The 20,176-nt window shown below is 39.8% G+C and overlaps 1 protein-coding gene across 51 annotated transcripts in view; it reads right to left on the reverse strand.

The window, feature by feature from the left end:
* The window catches only part of CADPS (calcium dependent secretion activator), a 477,069-nt gene that overhangs the window by 236,181 nt on the left and 220,712 nt on the right, over positions 1–20,176 (reverse strand). For all 51 annotated transcript variants that reach the window (NM_183393.3, NM_001438352.1, XM_011534199.3 and 48 more), the window contains exons 5-6: positions 16,319–16,552; positions 11,194–11,315 (exon numbers count right to left, since the gene is read on the reverse strand). In NM_183393.3, the coding sequence (NP_899630.1) occupies positions 11,194–11,315; positions 16,319–16,552 (356 nt within the window). The remainder of the gene's footprint in view (positions 1–11,193; positions 11,316–16,318; positions 16,553–20,176) is intronic.

Genomic DNA, 20,176 nt, shown 5'->3' on the forward strand with positions numbered 1-20,176 from the left:
ATATGCATTGCTTGTATTACAGACATTGTCACATTGATTGGGTATGATGATTATCTATGTGTTTCCAAGATCACTGAGCATGCGCAAGTCCAGAAATTTCAGAAATGACTTTGAAATAACACTTGACTATTTGGTCTCCTAAAGGCAAGTTGAAGCCAAAGGTATATAAAATATTTTAACTGAATAATAAGGCCAAAGCCAAACTTGAAGGTATCTCTACCCAATGACTTAAATGTGCCTTGTCTATTGTTTGTGCCATTAGATTGTGGGTGACATAACAGCTACATTTCTGCTTTTGTTCCCTGTTGTAGCCCCAGTGCCTCAAAGGCACAGTGTTTATAGCACACAGCAGCCACCCAGATAAGTGAGATGAAGGAAGGGCTGACCAAATGAACCTAGGAGTCTGGCCAATAGCATCTTATGCACTTCTCTCTGTGATTTGATTCTCCCCCTGATTTTTAAGTATTTGTGAGATCTGCATTGGACGCTTGGTTCTGATTACAAATGACAAAAATTACACACTAAGTTCTTCCAGAGGCTGCTATTTCTAGAGACCAGGTTGTTTTTGAGATTCATTTCATTTGAGGTCTGTTTAAAGCAGGCAGGTGAAAAAGAGAAACATTTTCTAGGTTCCAAGTCCCGCTACATTTGGCTCAACAGAAAATCACCTAATTCTGCTCTTGGGGTAGAAATAGGTTGAGTGATTTGACACAGCAGGGAGAAAAACAAGGTGACATCACATGGCAGGGCAGAACTGGGACAACACACCCAGAGCCTTCTGCCTCTAATAGTCCTCAATGATTGATCCTGCAACTCTACTGTACTACTGCATGTATAAAGTCATGGGAGACAAGAGCCCTCTTTTCATTCCTTCCCTCTCTAGTAAATTTACAGAAGAAGAACATCCAAAAAACAACACCCTGTCATTATTAGATTGTATAGTGTGCTACTTGCTAAAAGTCAAATTTACAGAGATTTACTTGTGTTGGACCTAGCAATTCCTTGGTGCATATATTTTTATGTGTGTGTATGTATTTTATTCATTACTTAGTAAATGACAGTGATTTGGTGTCAAGCACTCATACAATGGGTTCATTTTACTTTTCGGGCTTTCTCTGTTTTTTTTTTTTTTTTTCCCCTCCCCAGATATTTTGCAGCCATCTTCTGTTCTTTTAGGTATGGAGCCTCATCTAGATGGAGAGATCTGCACTATAATTATCTTTATGGTCATCAGTACTCTGAAGAGGTTTTCAAGCCCATCACATTGGGCCCCTTCTCAGCTTTTCCATAACCCTTTACCACTTGCTGCTAAGGTTTAGCTCTGAATCAACCAACATTTATTAATCATCTTTACATGTAAGCATTATAAGAAAACTAGCTTGCTATATAGTTTTTTTCCAAGTACAAGTAAGGGATCTACATATAAATGAACACATTCCAAAGGAAACTAAAAAAGGCATCTGAGAGATAAAGCGTCTTTAGCTTCTTTAGTTCACACCAACTGACTTTGATGGTCTGTGCTGTTTTCCTTTTTTACCCTGGGTCCACTGACAGCAATAATGATTAAAATAAGAATAACATCTCTTACATTTGTGCCAAGTTCTTTGCATATGTTAAATTTGAAATGTTATTAAGCAGCCTATGGTGTAGGTATCATCAGTATTATTTTGTAAGTGAAGAAACTGAGGTTCAGAAGGATTTAGTAGCTCACCTACCATAACAATGACAGTGGCACAGGTGAGATTCAAAGTAGGGGTTGTATCACCCCAAAGCTTTTGCTCTTATGCCCATGCTGAACCTTTATTTTTCATATAATCACTGAAATGTTTCCACCCAGACTGCAGCTGTTAAAGACTGCCTGAAATAGCTGCCTCATCCCAAACCATCTAAACTAGCAGCTACGGGCTGGCATGAAAGCTTCTGAATCCTTACCAAGGAACCCAGGTGACTCTGAAGGACTCCAGAGTTTAAACACCAGAGCTCTAGAAATTTCCAAACCCCCTGATAATTGGCATCATGCCAAGATGCTGTGTCCTCCCCGAGGGCTCACATCCATCTGCACCTTTATAGTGAAGTGAGTTCCATATCACAGCACAGGGGCGTTGCTGGAAGACAAATAAGTAACTGATAAACACATAGAAAGTATTATCTTAGCTGCACTCTAGCCTCTGGAACAATGGCCCTGATCCAGAAAGAAGCCAGAATAACAGGCTTGTGGATACCCAGGCTGTAGAGGGCTGTGCCTCTGGAAGACGACTCATGGAGGATGTTGCCTTTTGGATTCCTCTTGCCTTTGAGAACTAGTTCTTTTATCATCAAATCGAAGGCAGTCCACCCTCAGAATATGTCCTCTGGCTCTGGAAAGCATTTTGGCAATGGTACTCCCTTCTACTTTGGCACCCTTGGCCAATTGATTTCCAGGTGTTTGAAGCCTGGGTGTGTGGAGTTGTAGGATTTGGGGGCAGGCTTCCTAATTTCTCTGAGCTTCTCTTTTTTCCTTCTATTTCTTAACAGTACCATGTGGAGTTCAGTGACATTATAGTGAGTTTTAGGCTATTAATACTATTTCCTGAGAGGTTACAATATGCTGGTCACTGAACTCAGCCCTTAACATAGATCAGATTGATTTTCAACAACAACCCGATGGGGCAGTTGTGTCTTGTCTCTCTTTCAAATTTAGGGAAACTGAGGCTTAATGGGGAGAAGCTACTTGGTCAAGGTTACCCAGCTGGTGAACGGTGAAACTGTGATTTAAACCCAGCTCCATCTGACTCTTAGCCATATGGTTCCAGCTAGTTCAGTGCCTGGTACTTAGATTTCAATAAATGGTAGGGGCAGTTGTTATTGATAATGATTCCCTTGAGGATGATGATCATTATCATTAGTGTCTCTCCTGGGATTGTGTAAATGCCTCAAGGGCAGAGAGCCTCTTTTTAGACTCACGTGTTACACCTCACAGTGCTGATGTATGTGGGTCGAATTATGCCTGCTGAGTGTGTACACTAATGTGGAACACCTGTGCTGGTGTGTGCGCCAGCACGTTCATCTCCCTTTAAATATAGGCTGGGTTTTAATCCACAAAACAACCGAATTTATGGAAAGGAAATGCACGCTTTTAGATAGTTTTGTTGAATATTCAATGCTAATTAAGTTACTCTGTTTTAGAGATCTAATTTCTTTTAGAAAGGTAGGGTGGCAGAATGGATGAAAAGTACAGGCTTTGGGTTTGGCTTTTGGCTTAGCTATTGTATCTGCAACTTGACTAAATAACTTCACCTCTCTGGATTTCAATATTTCCATTAGTAAAATGAGAATAACAATAGTACCTATCTCATAGGTTATGGTAGGGCATTAAATAAAATGATGACTGTGAAATACCTAGCATGGCACCTGGTCCATAGAAAATACTGAATCAACGTTAATGATCACTGTTTTAGACTCAGGCCACCTTGTTTTCCCCCATGTCCCCTTCGTCCATCTAAACAAGAATAAAGCCATGATTACAATAGTCAATAGGACTACTATCTGCCCAAGCATTGTTTTAAGCATTATATATATATATATATGTATATATATATAGCAATTAATTTTCATAAGAATATGGAAATGGAGGCACAAAGAGTTAAGCAGCCTGCCCACTCACACAGCGGAAATAGGAACGCAGTGCTCTGGCTCTCAATTTTGTACTCTTGTCCATGACACCATACTGCTTGTGAACACTGATGAATCTAAATCAAGTATCTGTTATTTTCTTATTAGTGAGGATTTAGAATTTCCCCCTCATTCTATCATTACAGGGAAATAACTCTATGACATTCTTTCCTATGTTCTCCCTGATCACTAAATAAAAAATACAGTGGCTTTTCACATTTGGAGAGAAATGTATTAAATTTGATTTCTACTGAACAGTGATAGAAAAACAGTCCAGTTCTTAGATTTACTCCAGATGTAAGTGGCAAGTAATCTTCTCTGGCAAGGTAATAGAGAAGCTGAATCAGAAAGGAAATGACCTACAGTCACTTAGTCCTTAAGGGTTTTTTTAAAAAGAGTACAGCCTTGTTTCATAGCTACACAAGATTAGACTACTCATGAAATCAGAACTTTTATAGATTTTTCACGTTTAGATGGAGTATCAACGTCTAACTGACAAACTCCAGCCACTACTTGATCATCCCATTCTGAAATTCCAACTAATTTCAGAAATTTCACCAACTCAGAGTCAGTTGCAATTCCTGAAACCTCTGTCTTAAGTTCTGCCATTATGGTTCTTCTCTGGACCAGTTAGTTGGATGAAATAATTATAGAATTGTTGAGGTAGAAGGGACCTTGGATTCCACTTTTCAGGACTTGGAGAAGTTGGAAAGCTTGGTGGCTTACATAACACAGGTTGGCAAATTTATGATGGAGCTTGGAGAAGAATTAGGAGCTCTCTCTCCAAAACTTGTTCCCTAGCACCTTGCTTCCTTCCCACTGTCTATCCTACTGTCTGTTGTCCTAGCAGTCTGCCCACCTTCACCCTCCAGCTCACAAACACACACAAACTGGTCTTAAATAAACATTGGGAATTCTGGACCAAGCATTCTGGTCTGAGAGGCAGTACAGTGTCTGAGCATCCCAAAGTGTGATTATAATTTTACTTTCTCCCAACCTACGTATCTTCTGGGAGCCTAGCAAAATTTAATTTCTGGGTCAGTGTTGACTTTTACCATTTATGATTTAATTAACTTAGAAAGAAATTAAACCTTTTTCTGGAAGGAAAAAACAGAAGAAATAGTATCCAAGCTCCACGTTCTCGCTACATAATGTCTCTACGTAAATATCTCCTGGACTGTGAACTTGAGCATGGAGTGTCAAGACAGGAAAGGAGCTGATTCTCAGGAAGCCTCATTCCCTTTCCCATTCAGTGGCCTTTGAAGTTCTCAAAAGCTACTGAGGCTCCTGGAATATAGACCATGCTCAGGCGCTCAGATTTTTCCAATCAACTCTCCTCCATGGGTGCACAACTTCAAAGGTCGTATCTGTGTTATTCCCCACTCTAATACTAAAGCCTGGCAAATAGTGTGTGCTCAATAAATACTAGTTTACCAATATATGGTTCCAAGTTTACTCCAGTCCTTAAAGATATTTCAGGTTTCAAGATGGAAATACAATCATATTTTCCCTGGCTTAAACTCCGCCAATAGCTTCTCCAGGGTCTTGGAATAAAGTTTAAACCCTTTGCGTGGCCCCTAAGACCTGTAAGTTGTCGGCCCTGCCCTGCTCTCTGCACTCTCCCTGTAAACACTCTCCCTCAATGACTAATTTCTAGGCACATTGTTCCCCCTTCTGGTCCAGGACACATCAAGCCCCTCCCTACCTCAAAGCCTTGCACTTGCTGTTTCCTCTTCCCTATGCCCCCACTACTTTCTATCACAGCAGCCTGCTCATTTCTTTCAGAACACAAATTATAATCTGTTGTTACCCTTATATATTCATTTGTTCATTTGTTTATTGCCTATGTCCCTTACTTGAATGTTTGATCCACAGGCCAAGGTTTGAGATATGTTATTCACAGCTGTAGCCCCAGCACTGGTTGGACATAAGGAAAGCATCCTGTGTACACTTGCTGAAGGAATGCAAGTATCTACCCTTTCATATCATCGTATCACATTTGAATATCAAAGAAGCCATTCAGGAAAGATATTCTGCCTTGATGTAAACCATTCCAAGGCCCAGTACACAGAAAACATTTTGCTTAAATTGAAAAAGGAAGCACCATTAAGAAGATAATACATGAGGCAAGCAACTGGAGGGAACAACTTCCTTTTCTGACTTTGTAACTGACTTAATGTGGGAACAATTTAATAGAACTCCATTTCTATGAATAATTTGGGTATAATAAGCCTGGCCCATTCTACACTCTACCATTAGGATGAGTAATATATTTCACAGAAGAAAAATGTTACAGGAAGTTGTTGTATTTTGGTTTTGTCTTTTGTCTCATCAGATGAGATGTCATTGAAGAACCCTAGGGCCGTGGCAAGATCCCAGTTAGGGCATTTTATTTTCTCATTCCCTTGGAAAATACCAATTTTCCAAGTTTGGTTGTGCTTTCTAATCCCTGGCAATAATGAAATTCATATGTCACGAAGCCCATGGCCTGTCAGGGAGTAATGAACTTGTTAAATAATCAAATGCCAAGTGGCATCTTTGGTTTCAATTCAGTAGAATATAATTTCAGATACATTAGCACAATACTGGGTTGCTAATTCAAATTTCCTTTCTTTTCAGCAAAATTATTTAAGTGTTCCAGTATTTAATCCTTGGGGCATGGTTATTACAGAGGACAACTTACATTATACAAAACTACCAATAAATATAATTTTGGAATATATTTTCTACTCAGGGAATATGTCAGGTTTCTTTACATCATTTTTTTTTCAAATTTACTTTATTTGCCTACCATCTTCCCAATCTCTGCCATTTCCGTATACCAAGATACTTTCATGATTACTTTTCATTGTATCCAGGTACCACCTGTGCTATTATTTACTTAATATATTTTATTTAAATTGATTCACTTTTTAAATGTTAATGTATTTCTTTAAAAAGGAAATCTTATGTCATTGCTACAAAAGACAAAACAGCACCACCAGCCATGAATGGAAGGTAAGCGTAATGGGATCTAAACAAGGCTATGAAATCTTAACTGGATGCTGTTGCCTGCAGAAGGCTCTGAGACTGAGACCTGTGGAGGTGTTAATGACCTACTAGCATCGAATTAAAATGTTCTCCTTGACCTGATCAGAAGAATTGAAAAATAAATGGTAAAGGAGTGCCTTCTTTTTCACATAATTTCATCTCACTCAATGCCATTTTCTGGTATTACTTAACATAATCTCTGTTCTTAGTAAAGGTAAGAGTGCCACCCTTTGAAATATATCACCTTAGAGCAAGAACAGCCCTCTGCTCTATTTCAAAGAGAGTGGGAAAATATATTCCAAATGCTTTGGAATCCCCAAAGCATTTCCTTCTCCATCTCCCTGCCTTCCTGAGGCTGCTGATCTAATGGCAGGATTTCAAGCACTTCTGCCTAAGTATCCCCATTGGTTTCCCATCAGAAGCAAAAACAACCTATTGCAAATGGAGACAATATTGTAAAATAAGTACGTCTCATGAAAACTTGATCGTATATTCTCCTGGCTTTCTATGTTAAAAACGCAGGAGAGGAGGACAACAGAAATGAGAGGATATAGTCTGCTTGGAAACAACCCACAGGTAGCAAACAGATTGATCAACTGAAGGATAAGTATGGGCCACAATTTAGCTGAGAGTATAAGAGGCTGCCGGCCTTCACCACACACACCATTTTTTCCAACCACAAAGTATTAATATATTTAACTAATGAACGCAGTGTTATTATATTATACAACTGATCCAATATGACGATGCTGAGCAGGGTCCTGGCCATAAGTGAAGAGATGGCACTGATAAAAGGAGGTGAAGGATGTGTAATGTCAATTCAATACATGAGGATTCCAAATAACATACTCTTAGACAAATTGGGTTATGTTATGTACTCCTAAATTTTTGGCTATACTTGAAAAAAAAAAAAAGACAACAGCCAAATTCCTTGTAGACATGTGCTATGGCACAATGTTAGGGTTCCAGTTATGGGGTGTAGTACTTGGTAGCAGCAACCATGGAATTTGAGTAATAAACAAAACATGCTTGAATGGAGTTTTGGTTTTAGAATATATAAATAAAGCATGGGCACCAGCTGGCTGTAAAAATAGTCAAAGACAAGATTCAGAAGATGAATAGGGCAGGAAAAGGGCTAAGCTTGTCAGAGGATGAAGTGGAGTTATTAGGACAAATTAAAGATAATCCCCGAAAGGAAAATTTCTGGAATAATAAAAATCAAGTAGCAGAGATGACAGTTGGAGATTAGTAATAGGAGAAAGTGTAAGTGGGAGGGGTGGAGAAAAGGAGAAGAAATAAAGCTTCAAAGAAAAGAGATGATGAAGAGGCTTCTGAGTAAGTTAAAACTAGGGAGGCAGGAAGAAAATGGAACTGCACAAACAGGCTCGTTCATGCTACCAGATAAAACTGGAGGCAAGCCAGGTGCAGTGGCCCATGCCTGAATCCTTGTACTTTGGGAGGATGAGGCGGGGGCAGGTCACTTGAGCCCAAGAGTTCGAGACCAGCCTCAGCAACATGGTGAAACCCCATCTCTACAAAAACATACAAAAATTAGCTGGGCGTGGTAGTGTATGCCTGTAGTCCCAGCTACTCAGGAGACTGAGGTGGGAGGATCACCTGAGCCCAGGTTGGCCAAGGCTGCAGTGAGCTGTGATTGCACCACTGTACTCCAGCCTGGGTGACAGAGTAAGACCCTATCTCAAAAGACAAAACAAAACAAAACAAAACAAAACAAAACAAAACAAAACAAAACCCAAACCTCAAAACAAAACAAAACAAAACCACTTGGAGGTAGAGAAAAACTACTAGAAGTGAACTGTGACAAAGAAAAATGGTTAAAAAGAGTATTGAGTACAGAATTGTGGATTTAGAAGGAAAATAAGTAAAGGATATAGGAGAGTCTACATGTAAAGGATAAAGGAAGAGAGGAAGACACACGAGTGTTGTATATTTCAAGCTCCACGTATATCCCTTTGGGATACTATAGAAATGGCAAATACAGGGCACTTGTACTCCTTCCTCTTCCACGGCAGATGTTACAAGTTGACCTTGGCACTATTTTCCTCTGAGTATGGATTTGGCCTCGAACCCTTCTCAATACAGCACTTCAGGTAGCTACCACTGACTGATTTCACTTGACCCTGGTCATGAAACCTGAATCCTTAAGGTATTACAAATCAACCAACCTACTGACTGAAGAGGAATCAAAAATGTATACTTCTTACTGGAAAAGCAAAATGTTTCAATGTGAGCTGTTTCTGTACATAGACATCATAAGCCACATGTATAGTTATGAGTAAGTATGTGTATAAAACATGAATATTTCATGCAGGTAGACCCAATCATTCTGTAATTATTTGTAATCTGAAATTCTGTTTTAACCATTTACAAACACAGGAAAATCAACTCATGATTTACCCTGGTAACTGAAACCGTTGCATCTGATCGAATGTTACAAACTATGTTTTGAATTATAATAGCTCATATGAAACAACAGTCTGTTAGAATAATCAGAACTTTCTTCTTCCTTCTCAATCTTATAACGCCATATTGGGCCCAGCATCTTAAAAGGTTGCCAGAAACACGAAATAGGTTGTTCTTCCCCCATGTATCACACATTTTAAAAAAGCACAAATAGTGCAGTATAACATAAGAGCATGGAAAACGATCAGACCATTTGAGGAATAACTGGGATTTCATCAATGGCAGTAAAAAAGAAACCACATTTATTGTCAGTTTGAAACTTGGTTGTAAAAAAAGGGAGGAAGGGTGACGTGTGACAAGGTGCATTGGTTTCCATTTCCTCTTGTACACACTCATTAATTTCTCCCAGCTTCTGAGCATCTGAGGCTTTTGCCTATTCATGCAAAGAGCCACTTGAAGGTATACAATGCCCTGAGATTTTCTCTAGTCCAGGAAACATTCCGTGCTTTCTTTGAACTATTTTGTTTGAACATCCTGGCAAATTATTCATGTTCTGCCAAACAGCTCATAATGCTCTGGGGGAGGAGAGGCAGTGAGCTGCTGTTCAGGGTTTCTCTTTTGATGACTCTCTTATGAATTAACACCAACACAAAAAGATGCTCATTAGTCTAGATGGGCTTAACTGAGATAGAAAAGGAAGGGAGAGGAAAGTAGTGGGTAGGGAGGGAAGGGAGCAATGATCTCTCAAGAATCTTTGAGGCCTGAGAGTCTACTGACCCTAATGAATGAACCCATTATTGCTCCTGTGGACCGCTGAAACAGTACCCTAACTGACCTCCTGCACAACCCTGCCCACCCACTCCCCATCCACTGCAGCGAGAGTCATCTTTTCAAAATACATCTCCAATGCATACTTTCCTCACCAAGGCCTAACAACTTCCTCATGGTATGGCCCTGCCTGCCTCTCTGGCAGCTTATCCACCCCTTATTCTCCAAACTCCAGCCCTGCTGGCCTCTTTTGAATTTCTCCTTGCCCAGGGCCTTTGCTAACCACAGGACCTTTGCACAAGCTGTTTACTCTGCCTAGAATGCTCTCCACCCATCCCCACTCCCATTGCTCAACTTTAATAATATTAGTTCAAATGCCTCATATGTCCTAAGGAAGGCCTATTCTGCATCTGTCCTCACAAACTGGTTCAGGTGCCTCCCACTATCTCCTCTCAAAGCATTCTTTGTCAGCATTTATAACTATTTATAATTATATATTTGTGCCATTACTTTCTGATGTCCCCATGAAACTGTGAGCTGTGGAGGGCTACAGCAGTGACTACTTTCCTTTCCACCATACAATAATACCTTGTACACACACATTTGACTAAATTGTATTGACCCAATGAATTAATGTATTATGTAACATACTACCTTGCTAATACATTCAGAACTATGACATACAGGAAAAAATTAGACAAAAACCCAAATATCATATGTTCTCACTAATAAGTGGGACCAAAGCTATAAGGATTCAAAGGAATAAGAATGATACAATGGACTTTGGGGACTCAGGGGAAAGAGTGGGAAGGGGGTAACGGATAACAGACTACAAACTGGGTTCAGTATATATTGCTCGGGTGATGACACCAAGATCTCCCAAATCACCACTGAAGAACTTAGTAATATAACCAAATTACCACCTGTTCCCCAAAAATATATGGAAATGAAAACATTTTTATGTCTTATACTGAAAACCAAATATTTAGAAAATTTAATAAAAGTAAACTTATATCAAACTTTCCTGCACATTATATTGATGAATGGAAGTTGTGACTAATCTCTCGAGGGTGAATACTTAAAACCACTAGAAAGGACACTGTTTCTTTAATTTTCTTCAGTTCTCTGCTTTGAAGGAACTAGAATCTTTGCTGTGGCTGCCAAATAAAAATGTAGGCAAGTCATCTTGTTTGAAAAATAAACAAGGTTTATGTCTTCTCGTATCTTCTGGGGAAACCAGATCTTTACCTTGGAGTTGGCCAAAATGGAACTAATGGCAGCAACCCTCTATAAGATGGACCCTGGAGAAACATAACTTACGTTGGTTTAGAAGCCTCGGCCTGATCAGTCTGTAGTTTCTCTCCTCCTTCCACCTCCATTGTGCAATATACGATGCGATTTGGAGCCAAAGATTTGAGGCCTTGGACTTCCATAATTACCACCTGAAAAGAGAATTCCACATAATGGAGGTTATTGGCAAGGCCCCTGGCAGCATCGCCCAGAGGAAAATACACAAATGAGAAGCTACAGAGAAAACCAACAGGTATCTGATGGCTTCTGTTAGGTTTGTACCAGTCATGCTGGGACCAGTCTAGCACGAAGATGCAATTCCTCATAGTGTAGCTGATTGCCTGCCAGATAGAAAGACAAGGCTCACCAATTCAAATGCTCACAGGGGCCAGACAGGCATATAAAATGGGCTACTCTTTCTGTGTTAAGCAAATAAGATCAGTTTTTCATTTCTACCAAGGAATTGGCTCTTTTTTTTTTTTTTTTTTGAGATGGAGTCTCGCTCTGTCACCCAGGCTGGAGTGGTGCAATGGCGTGATCTCGGCTCACTGCAACCTCCACCTCCCTGGTTCAAGCAATTCTCCTGCGTCGGCCTCCTGAGTAGCTGGGATTACAGGTGCACGCCACCATGCCCAGCTAATTTTTTTTTTTTGTATTTTTAGTAGAGACAGAGTTTTATCACTCTGTCTAGACTGGTCTCGAACTCCTGACCTCAGGCACTACGCCCGCCTCAGCCTCCTGAAGTGCTGGGATTACAGGCGTGAGCCACCACGCGCGGCCAGGCTCTTATTTTCTTTAAAAATAGTCTGGCTTTTGGTTCAGCACTTTAAAGAGCCACAGGCTCATAAATTCACTTTTTGCTTCACAATAAGATAAGTAATAGTGCAAATACTAAAATAAAGGGCAAGTACTATTCAGCATTAGATTCAGAGATGCAACAGGGATTAGCAGGGACTATGACAAACTGGAGAGCACATGCTCCTTCTGAAGGGAGCAGCTGCCAGTTACAACCCGTTGTTGCCTTGTCTTTTCTCACTTTAGAGTTACCAGATACTCCAATTTTGCCTTCCAGAAAATGAAAAACTGAATCAGAGTCACAGTGAGAAAGCTGATTTTGAAATGCTGACAATAATTCAAATAGGGAGAAATAAAATACACAAACTCTGTACAGGCCAATATTATTGAGTCAAAACAAAAACATGTCTGCAGCTGCATAGTCTTTGGTCCAGACTGAGAGAAAAAGCCGGTGTCATGATGGATCAAGATGTATCATTTACAGTTTCTGGCACTTCCTACCACCTCCCCAAACTCCACGTAATCACCTACTATTCTGATATTTAACAGTATGGCTTGTCACAAGAGACCGGGGAGGGAGAAGAATGCAGAAAGCAGAGAAGAAAGAGATCAATTTAAAAATCTGAAACAAATGACTCACATCAGAGATATACAATTAGTCCTTATACATGAAAAAATCATTCAGTTGTACTCCAAAACAGGTAATGGTATTACACAAGAAGAAGAATGTGAGTGCGCAAAAAATGAATACTTCCTTAGTGGATCAGATTCAAGAAAGTACAATAGGGTTAGCATTGAACCAGGATTCCACAAGTCACAGTTTTGCTACTGGTTCTCAAACTTAATGTGAATCAGAATCATTTATAGGGCTTGTTAAACTAGAGATTGCTAGGCTCTATGATCTCCAGAGTTTCTAATCAGTAGGCCTGGGTTGGAGCCCAGGACTTTCTTTTTCTAACAATTTTCCTGGTGATGCTGATGCTGCTGACCCAGAAGCCATACTTTCAAAACCATTGTACTACTCGCGTGATGTTGGGCAAATGATTTGATGTTGAAGTCACTTCATTTTTCTTTCAAATCTCCAGGGCCTGTTTCCTGATCTGTAAAGTGGGAATAAAAATATGTATCCCGTGGCTGTTGTGTGAGGATCAAATGAGACGATGCACATAAGTGAACATTTTTACATTGGGAAGAACCATATAAATAGAAAGAAATGGAAGGCACAGTGAAAGAGCACAAATTTTGGAATTTAAAATATCTGACTTCACATCCTGATTATGCATTTTCACAAGCTGTGTAATCACGTGCAGGTTTCTCAACCTCTCTGAGGCTTAGTTACTACACCTGCAAATACCTGAAAAGACTATTGTGAGGATTCACTGTGTTATGATGAAAAAGCACCTGGCCCACAGTGGCATTCTACAAACACCTGTTGCTTTCTGTTAGCACATGCCCTTTGCCCTTTGTCCTTTGCCCAAGGCCTGGCTACTGGGCACCCTGGACCTTCCTTCCCTCACTGCAAAGTTATTTACTACCTGGTGGCCCCTCCAGCCATGCAAGTGTATAATTATGTAAAATATGACTTGCACCAAGCTGCAAATTCAAATCCTAGTCTGCCCTGATGAGATGACAATCCTTTCTCCCTCTTCTTGCCTGCCCTCATTGTGCCCACCAAAACACATTCACAAACAGATGTGCAATGGTTTTTGCTGGCAGTTTTCTATGATGTGCAATTCAGTGTTCTATTTAAAAAGTATTTGGGGATCCTAGGACATTTCTTTCTGTACTTTCAATTACAAGTCAAACCATCTGAATCAGGTACACATAGGAGTACGGACTTGTCTACATCTATATTTCAGATAATCAGCTGTGTAATATCGAGTACTGACAAAGAATTAGAAAATTACAGATTTAGCAGGGCATGGTGGTGCACATCTACAATCCCAGCATTTTGGGGGGCTTAGGTGGATAGATGGCATGAGTCCAGGAGTTGAAGACCAGCCTGAACAACATGGCAAAACCCCATCTCTACAAAAAATACAAAGATTAGCTGGGTTTGGTGGTGTGCACCTGTAGTCCCAGCTACTTGGGAGGCTGGCTGAGGTGGGAAGATCACTTGAGTCCAGGAAGTTGAGGCTGCAGTTAGCCAAGACTGCACCTGCACCACTGCACTCTAGCCTGGGCAACAGAGTGAGACGTTGTGTCAAAAAAAAAAAAAAGAGGAAAGAAAATTACAGATTTAAAATACTCATGAAAATCAATAAACCACTTTCCCCCCGTTTCTGTAGGAAGACAAGAGGCAGTAGGGAATAAATTGACACCTTTAATTGGCAATAATCAAATTCAGACACCTAAGAAAATACATTCAGTACCTCAGGTGGCAGTATTGTTTTTTAAAAAAGAAAGTTTCTGTGAAATTACACGGATGATTTTTTCACACACTAAGTACTCTATATTTAATTGAATACTGCCTCTTCCAACTGCACAATACATGTTGAAAACACTAATGTGAGTATCTCCATCCAAACTTAGCACAGAAAAACAAATTACCTGCAGTTAATTCACAGCAGGCTTTAATGATGTTTTAGAAAATTAATTTAGTTTTTACATATTCTAATCAACTGCACAGAAATTTGATCTCTTCTCTTGGTCTCCCCAAATCTAGGGTTATCATAAAACCCTTGTGGGGTTTTGAACTTTAGTAAGTTACAAGTGGTTCTCAAATTTTGGAGTGGATAAGAAGCATGTAGGGGCTGGTTAAAGTATACAGTCCAGGGCTGCATCCTGTCTAGAATTTTTTTTCTGACAACTTGATTGTGGCATGTTTTACATATCATATAATAAACCCATTTTAGATGCACAATTCAGTGATTTTGGTACATTTACTAAGTTGCATGACCATCATCATAAATTAGTTTTAGAATATTTTTAGTTTTCCTAACAAGATTTCTTATGCCCTTTTTCACCCCTTGCCCCAGGGAACATTAATCCACTTCCTATTTCTGTAGATTTGCCTTTCGGACCTTTTATATCAAGGGAATCATACAATATGTGGTCTTTTTTTTTTTTTTTTTTTTTTTTTTTTTTTTTTAAAGACAGGGTCTCTCTTTGTCACCCAGGCTGGAGTGCAGTGGCATGATTATGGCTCACTGCAGCCTTGATCTCCCTAGCTAAATTGATCCTCCCACCTCAGCCTCCCAAGGAGCTGCACACCATCACACTCAGCTAATTAAAAAAAATTTTTTTTTTGTAGAGATGTCTCACTATGTTGCCCAGGCTGGTCTTAAACTCCTGAGCTCAAGCAATCCTCCCACCTCAGCCTCTCAAAGTCCTGGGATTATAGACATGAGCCGCCATGCCAAGCCTGGCTTTTTTCACCAGGCGTATTTTTGAGGTTCATCCATGTCATGGCATGTATCAGTGGGTTGTTCCTTTTAATTGCTGAATCATATTCCATTGTACGGGTATACCCCATTTTGTCGATCCATTCACCAGTTGGTTAACATTTACGTTGTTTCCATTTTGGGCTATTATAAATAATGCTGCCATAAATATTTACAGTCAAATCTTTGTGCAGACATGTGTTTTCATTTTTATTGGGTATCTGACAGTGGAGTTGCTAGATCATATGGTAGTTTTATGTTTAACTTTTTCAGAAAATGCTAACCTATTTTCCAAAATGGCTGCACAATTTTATATTCCCATCCCCTCGAGATCCTAGCTCAGTAGATCTGGGTGGTACCCAGGAATCTGCATAGTGAACTACCTTCCCATGTAATTCTGACATAGGTAGATCAGAACTACTCCTTAGATTATATACATATGAAAAGAAAATGTGTGAAGAGAAATTATAGAGAAACTTATTGACATGTTGAGCATTTTGCCACAATACTAGCCTGAATGGGTACTTACTTTGGGAGCTGAGATAAACTAAAAAAGCCTCCACCACAAGGGACTCTCTACCTTGTAGCCAACAGGAAGGATGATGGGAAAGAAAATTTACAGCTCACCACAATATGATGCTAGCTTGCCTCTCTTATAACTGTAAAACTGGCTGCCAAAATTTTTAACTTTCTAAATTATATAAGGTCTTTATAAAATCCTTGAGCACTGTTTTAAGACAGAAAGTAATGCAAGATTAAATTTAGTAGGTGGTTTTCAGATTGCATTTCCTTAAGAAAAATGTGGGCTCCTGGAGATGGGGAATCACTTGCTGATTAGCTGACCTAAGCTTAGCATGCTGTTATTTTAATAACTGCTCCTGGGGTGCAACAGAAAAAACAAGCTGATTGTGACGCATCTAATCGCCCATGTCCTACTTGCTGTGCCAAGAAACTTTCAAGGGCTCAGGGCTTTTTACCTCCAATGAGAAAGACAGCACGACATCTGACTTGGAGAGCTGGTTCTCACTCTCCTCGCCCATGTCGATGATGGAAGCATTGTGGCTGCGTTTGAGTTTCTGGAGCTTGAACTCCCCGCCTTTGGATACCGGCATGCTCTCCAAGTTGGCCATGAGCAGGTTGACAGATGACTTCAGCTCCTCAATGTACATGTTTTCCATTTCTTTGGATACAAACTTGGGAAATTTGCGTTCCTTGGGAAGAAAAAGAAAAGTATGAGCAGAGGAGAAAATAGAAAGCTGATTTATAAAGAAGGTCTTTGTCCCATGGCCCAGAGTTAGAATCACATCTACTACTAGTGAAATTCACCCAGATCTCATGGCCTTGTGCTAGAAAAATGTTCAGCCTATTTGAGTAGACAGCTGCCTGCCTGCTAGTTATTTATACATTGTAACAGGTAAGAAACACGTACATAAACATATAGTAAGAAACATTGAAATGCTTTATTACAGTTCTATTTTTCCCCAGTTTCCTTCAGCAAATTTGATTTGTAGGAAGAAAAATGGGGTGTTATTTTTCAAATATGGTTTCAGTTTAGTTTTTCTTTTTAGTAAAATGCAGTCATTTGTTTTTAAGTGAGGGAAACAGAAAGAGACCCTATTTCTGGATATCTACAGAGATTTTCTCACATGAATAATTCAAAAGGAGCTCATTTGAGAGGTTTCAAACATAGTCTGTGTCTATTTCTAAGAATAATAGTTACTGTTTTCAAGAAAAATTGAACCAAATTAATGAAGTGATGAAAAATGTGATTAAAATTCTTTAGAAGATAGAGCAATTTGGTATCATAACTGACCTCTATTTTTTCCTTTCTTGCTTATACATTTAGTTGTAATTGCAACACGTGCTAACCATGCTATTTGTTTCTTCATACTTCTAAGTCACCTGGAATGTGCTTTGGATCAATCACCTTCCCAAACAGTCATTTACCACTTGAAACATAAACTTGCCCTCCCCAAGCCCTATTCCATAACTGATGGAGTGAGAAGCAAGCCAAGTCAGTTTGACATTTTTATTTTTTTTTGCAAGTGACAGAAAAATCCACCTCAAACTGGCTTAAAACAACAAAAGAAAATATCCTGGGGTAGACCCAGCTTCAGGAAAGGCTGGAATCAGGGCTCAGGTGATATCACCACAACTGAGATTTTTGTTAAAATCTTGGCTTTGGTTCCTCTGGGGTGGCTTCATGCTCAGTTTGGCTCCCCTATCTTCACAGAAATGTTGCTAAAGATGTGGACTGCACAACATCACATCATGCTATCTAACGGAAAAGTGAATATTTCCTCTTGTAATATGCAAGGAAGATGGAGACAGTCTTTCATCCCCAAATTCTCACCCAAAGTCTAACTTAAGTACATGTCCAATTGGCCATATTACTGGCCAATTTCTATGGCCAGTAATATGCTGTGCTGATGTGCATAGGCATAGCTTATGTCCTCTGTCCTTGTGGCTGGGAGTAGAACCCCACCTAGATCCCATGGAACATGAATTGGTATGCCAATTCTGTGTGGCCAAAAAAAAAAAAAAAAAAAAAAAATAAGCTGTGTAACATATGGGCATCTGAGTCAAGATGAACCAACTAATTTTATTAGTGCCCTGTCATCAATCAGATTTACTCTGTCAAGCAGTTGAACTAGACTGAGAGACATTGAGACTGCAATTGGCTGGTAGAACTGAAACAGTAACATCTTACAGACTCAGGGTTGGCTGCCACACTGGATCAGGTCAAAGCAGAATAAGACACTTAACAAAGAAGAGAGAGAAAGAGGTAGAGACAAAGAGAGAGAAGAAGTAAGGGAGGCAGGGACTGAAGGAGGGAGGAAAAGGGAGAGGAGAGAAAAGAAAAGAAAAGAAAAGAAAGATGCTTTCTAGAGTTACAGAAAGGAACTCTGACTTTTATCATTTTCTAATTTCCACAGGACTAGTTATTTCTCCTGTAATTTTGTTCCTTAAGAATTTATTTTTCTTTCAGTAATTCCCCCACCCACTGTTAGTTAAAAGGGTTTTTCTTCCTTGCCATCTCACAGCTTCAGTCAAATACGGAGAGTGCTTCTTCTCCATAGAGCTTGGAGATGTCTTTGTGCTGGTCCAGTGCCAGTCTCCTTCCTACATGAAGGCTGTCATAAGTCTTGTTCCCCTCTCTCCCTATCTCCCTGCATAACTAACAGCCTTGTTTTCATCTTCCATATTTCAGCTTCAAAATTTCACTTCCCTGGGTTGGGTCCTCCTGTTGTATTTGCTAACTTACCTTCTTGGTAGCATTTATTGAAATGGATTGAATGTTTGTGTCCTTGCCTAATTTATATGTTGAAATCTAACCCTCAATGTTATGGTATTTGAAGATGGGCCTTGGGAAGATGATTAGATCATGAGGGCCCTCATGATGGAACTAGTGCCTGTATAAAGGAGGCCTCGGAGAGCTGCTCATTTGTTCCTGCCAGCATGTGAGGACCTGGTAAAAAGACAGCTGCCTATGAACCAGAAAGTGGGCCCTCATCAGACACTGAATCTGATGGTGGCTTGATTTTGAACTTCCCAGCCTCCAGAACTGTGAGAAACAAATTTCTCTTGTTTATGTCAACTATGGCATTCTGTTATAGCAGCCTGAATAGACTAAGACACTTGTTATAATTATAATTAATCAATCAATTGTGGAATTTGTTTAATTTCTGTCTTTCCTGCTGGGCAATGATTCAGGACCATATCTATCTTAATACTCCTGTTGAATTTTCTGTGTCTAGCATAAAGTTTGGCACATAATAAGTATTCAATACATATGAATTGAGTGAATAGATCAATGACTTGTCAAAAATGCCCATATTAAATATCAATGTAGCTAAAATTCAGCTGTGAGGAGGAGGTAGATAGATGATAAATTAAGTTCTGAAAGAACACCGAGATTCTGCTTTTCCATGTGAATAAAATATGGGGGTCTGAAATCCACTCCGCAACGTCACAGTACCAGTTCCTTCTGGAACTTCTTAGTATAATCACGTCCTGCTTTTAAGACTGGGCTAAGCTCACTGTGTGGTGCTTTCTAAACACGCTGTGCATGAATGTGAGGGAAAGAGCAGGATGGATGCTTCTGAAATGAGATGACAGGCTGATGATCTTGACAAGAGCTACTAATGATTCATCACAAAAGAATCTCAAACGTTGTATTTCTCTAAAACTTCCTGCACAGTGGCCTTGAAATTTTGTCATTCTTGGACTTGATCAGGGACAAGTGTGAACCTCAGAACTTGGATTTCTTTTATGAAAAACCGTCAAGATGCGAGGACTTGGCTGCTGGGTCCCCATCACTTGGAAAACATTTACTGCCACAAACACTGTATATGGTACAGAGTTAGGCACTAGGGGGATCATGTTGAGAGGATGTAAACTGTCTTCCTTGAGCTTACAGCTACTGGGGAGAAAGATCTATAACAGAACATCAAGGTAGGTACTGTAATGGAAGTATAATGTGATGCAAATCCTTCCTGAGAGAATCAAGGGTGGCTTCCCAGAGGTGGTGACCTTTGGGATGAGGGTCTGATGGATAAAGAAGAGTTTGCCACCAGGTTGAGTTGGCTGAGATAGGGCCACTGCTCTTTTCTCCTTCCCATGGAAAATACTGTAGGCAACCATGAATCCAAGAAGGTGTATACAACTTTACATAGCCACACAATATTTCCTCATATTTCTTGGAATATGGCCTCTCTGGAGAGTGAAGGGAAGAGTGAGGTAGGTTAACTCATGGTCTGAGAGTAGTCCTTAGGCCCCATTAAAGGCTGTCACGGAACAAAGGTTACATCCCAAGAGCCTGAAACTCATTACAC

Source organism: Homo sapiens, chromosome 3, assembly GCF_000001405.40.
Source record: "Homo sapiens chromosome 3, GRCh38.p14 Primary Assembly".
NCBI classification, from domain to species: Eukaryota; Metazoa; Chordata; class Mammalia; order Primates; family Hominidae; genus Homo; species Homo sapiens.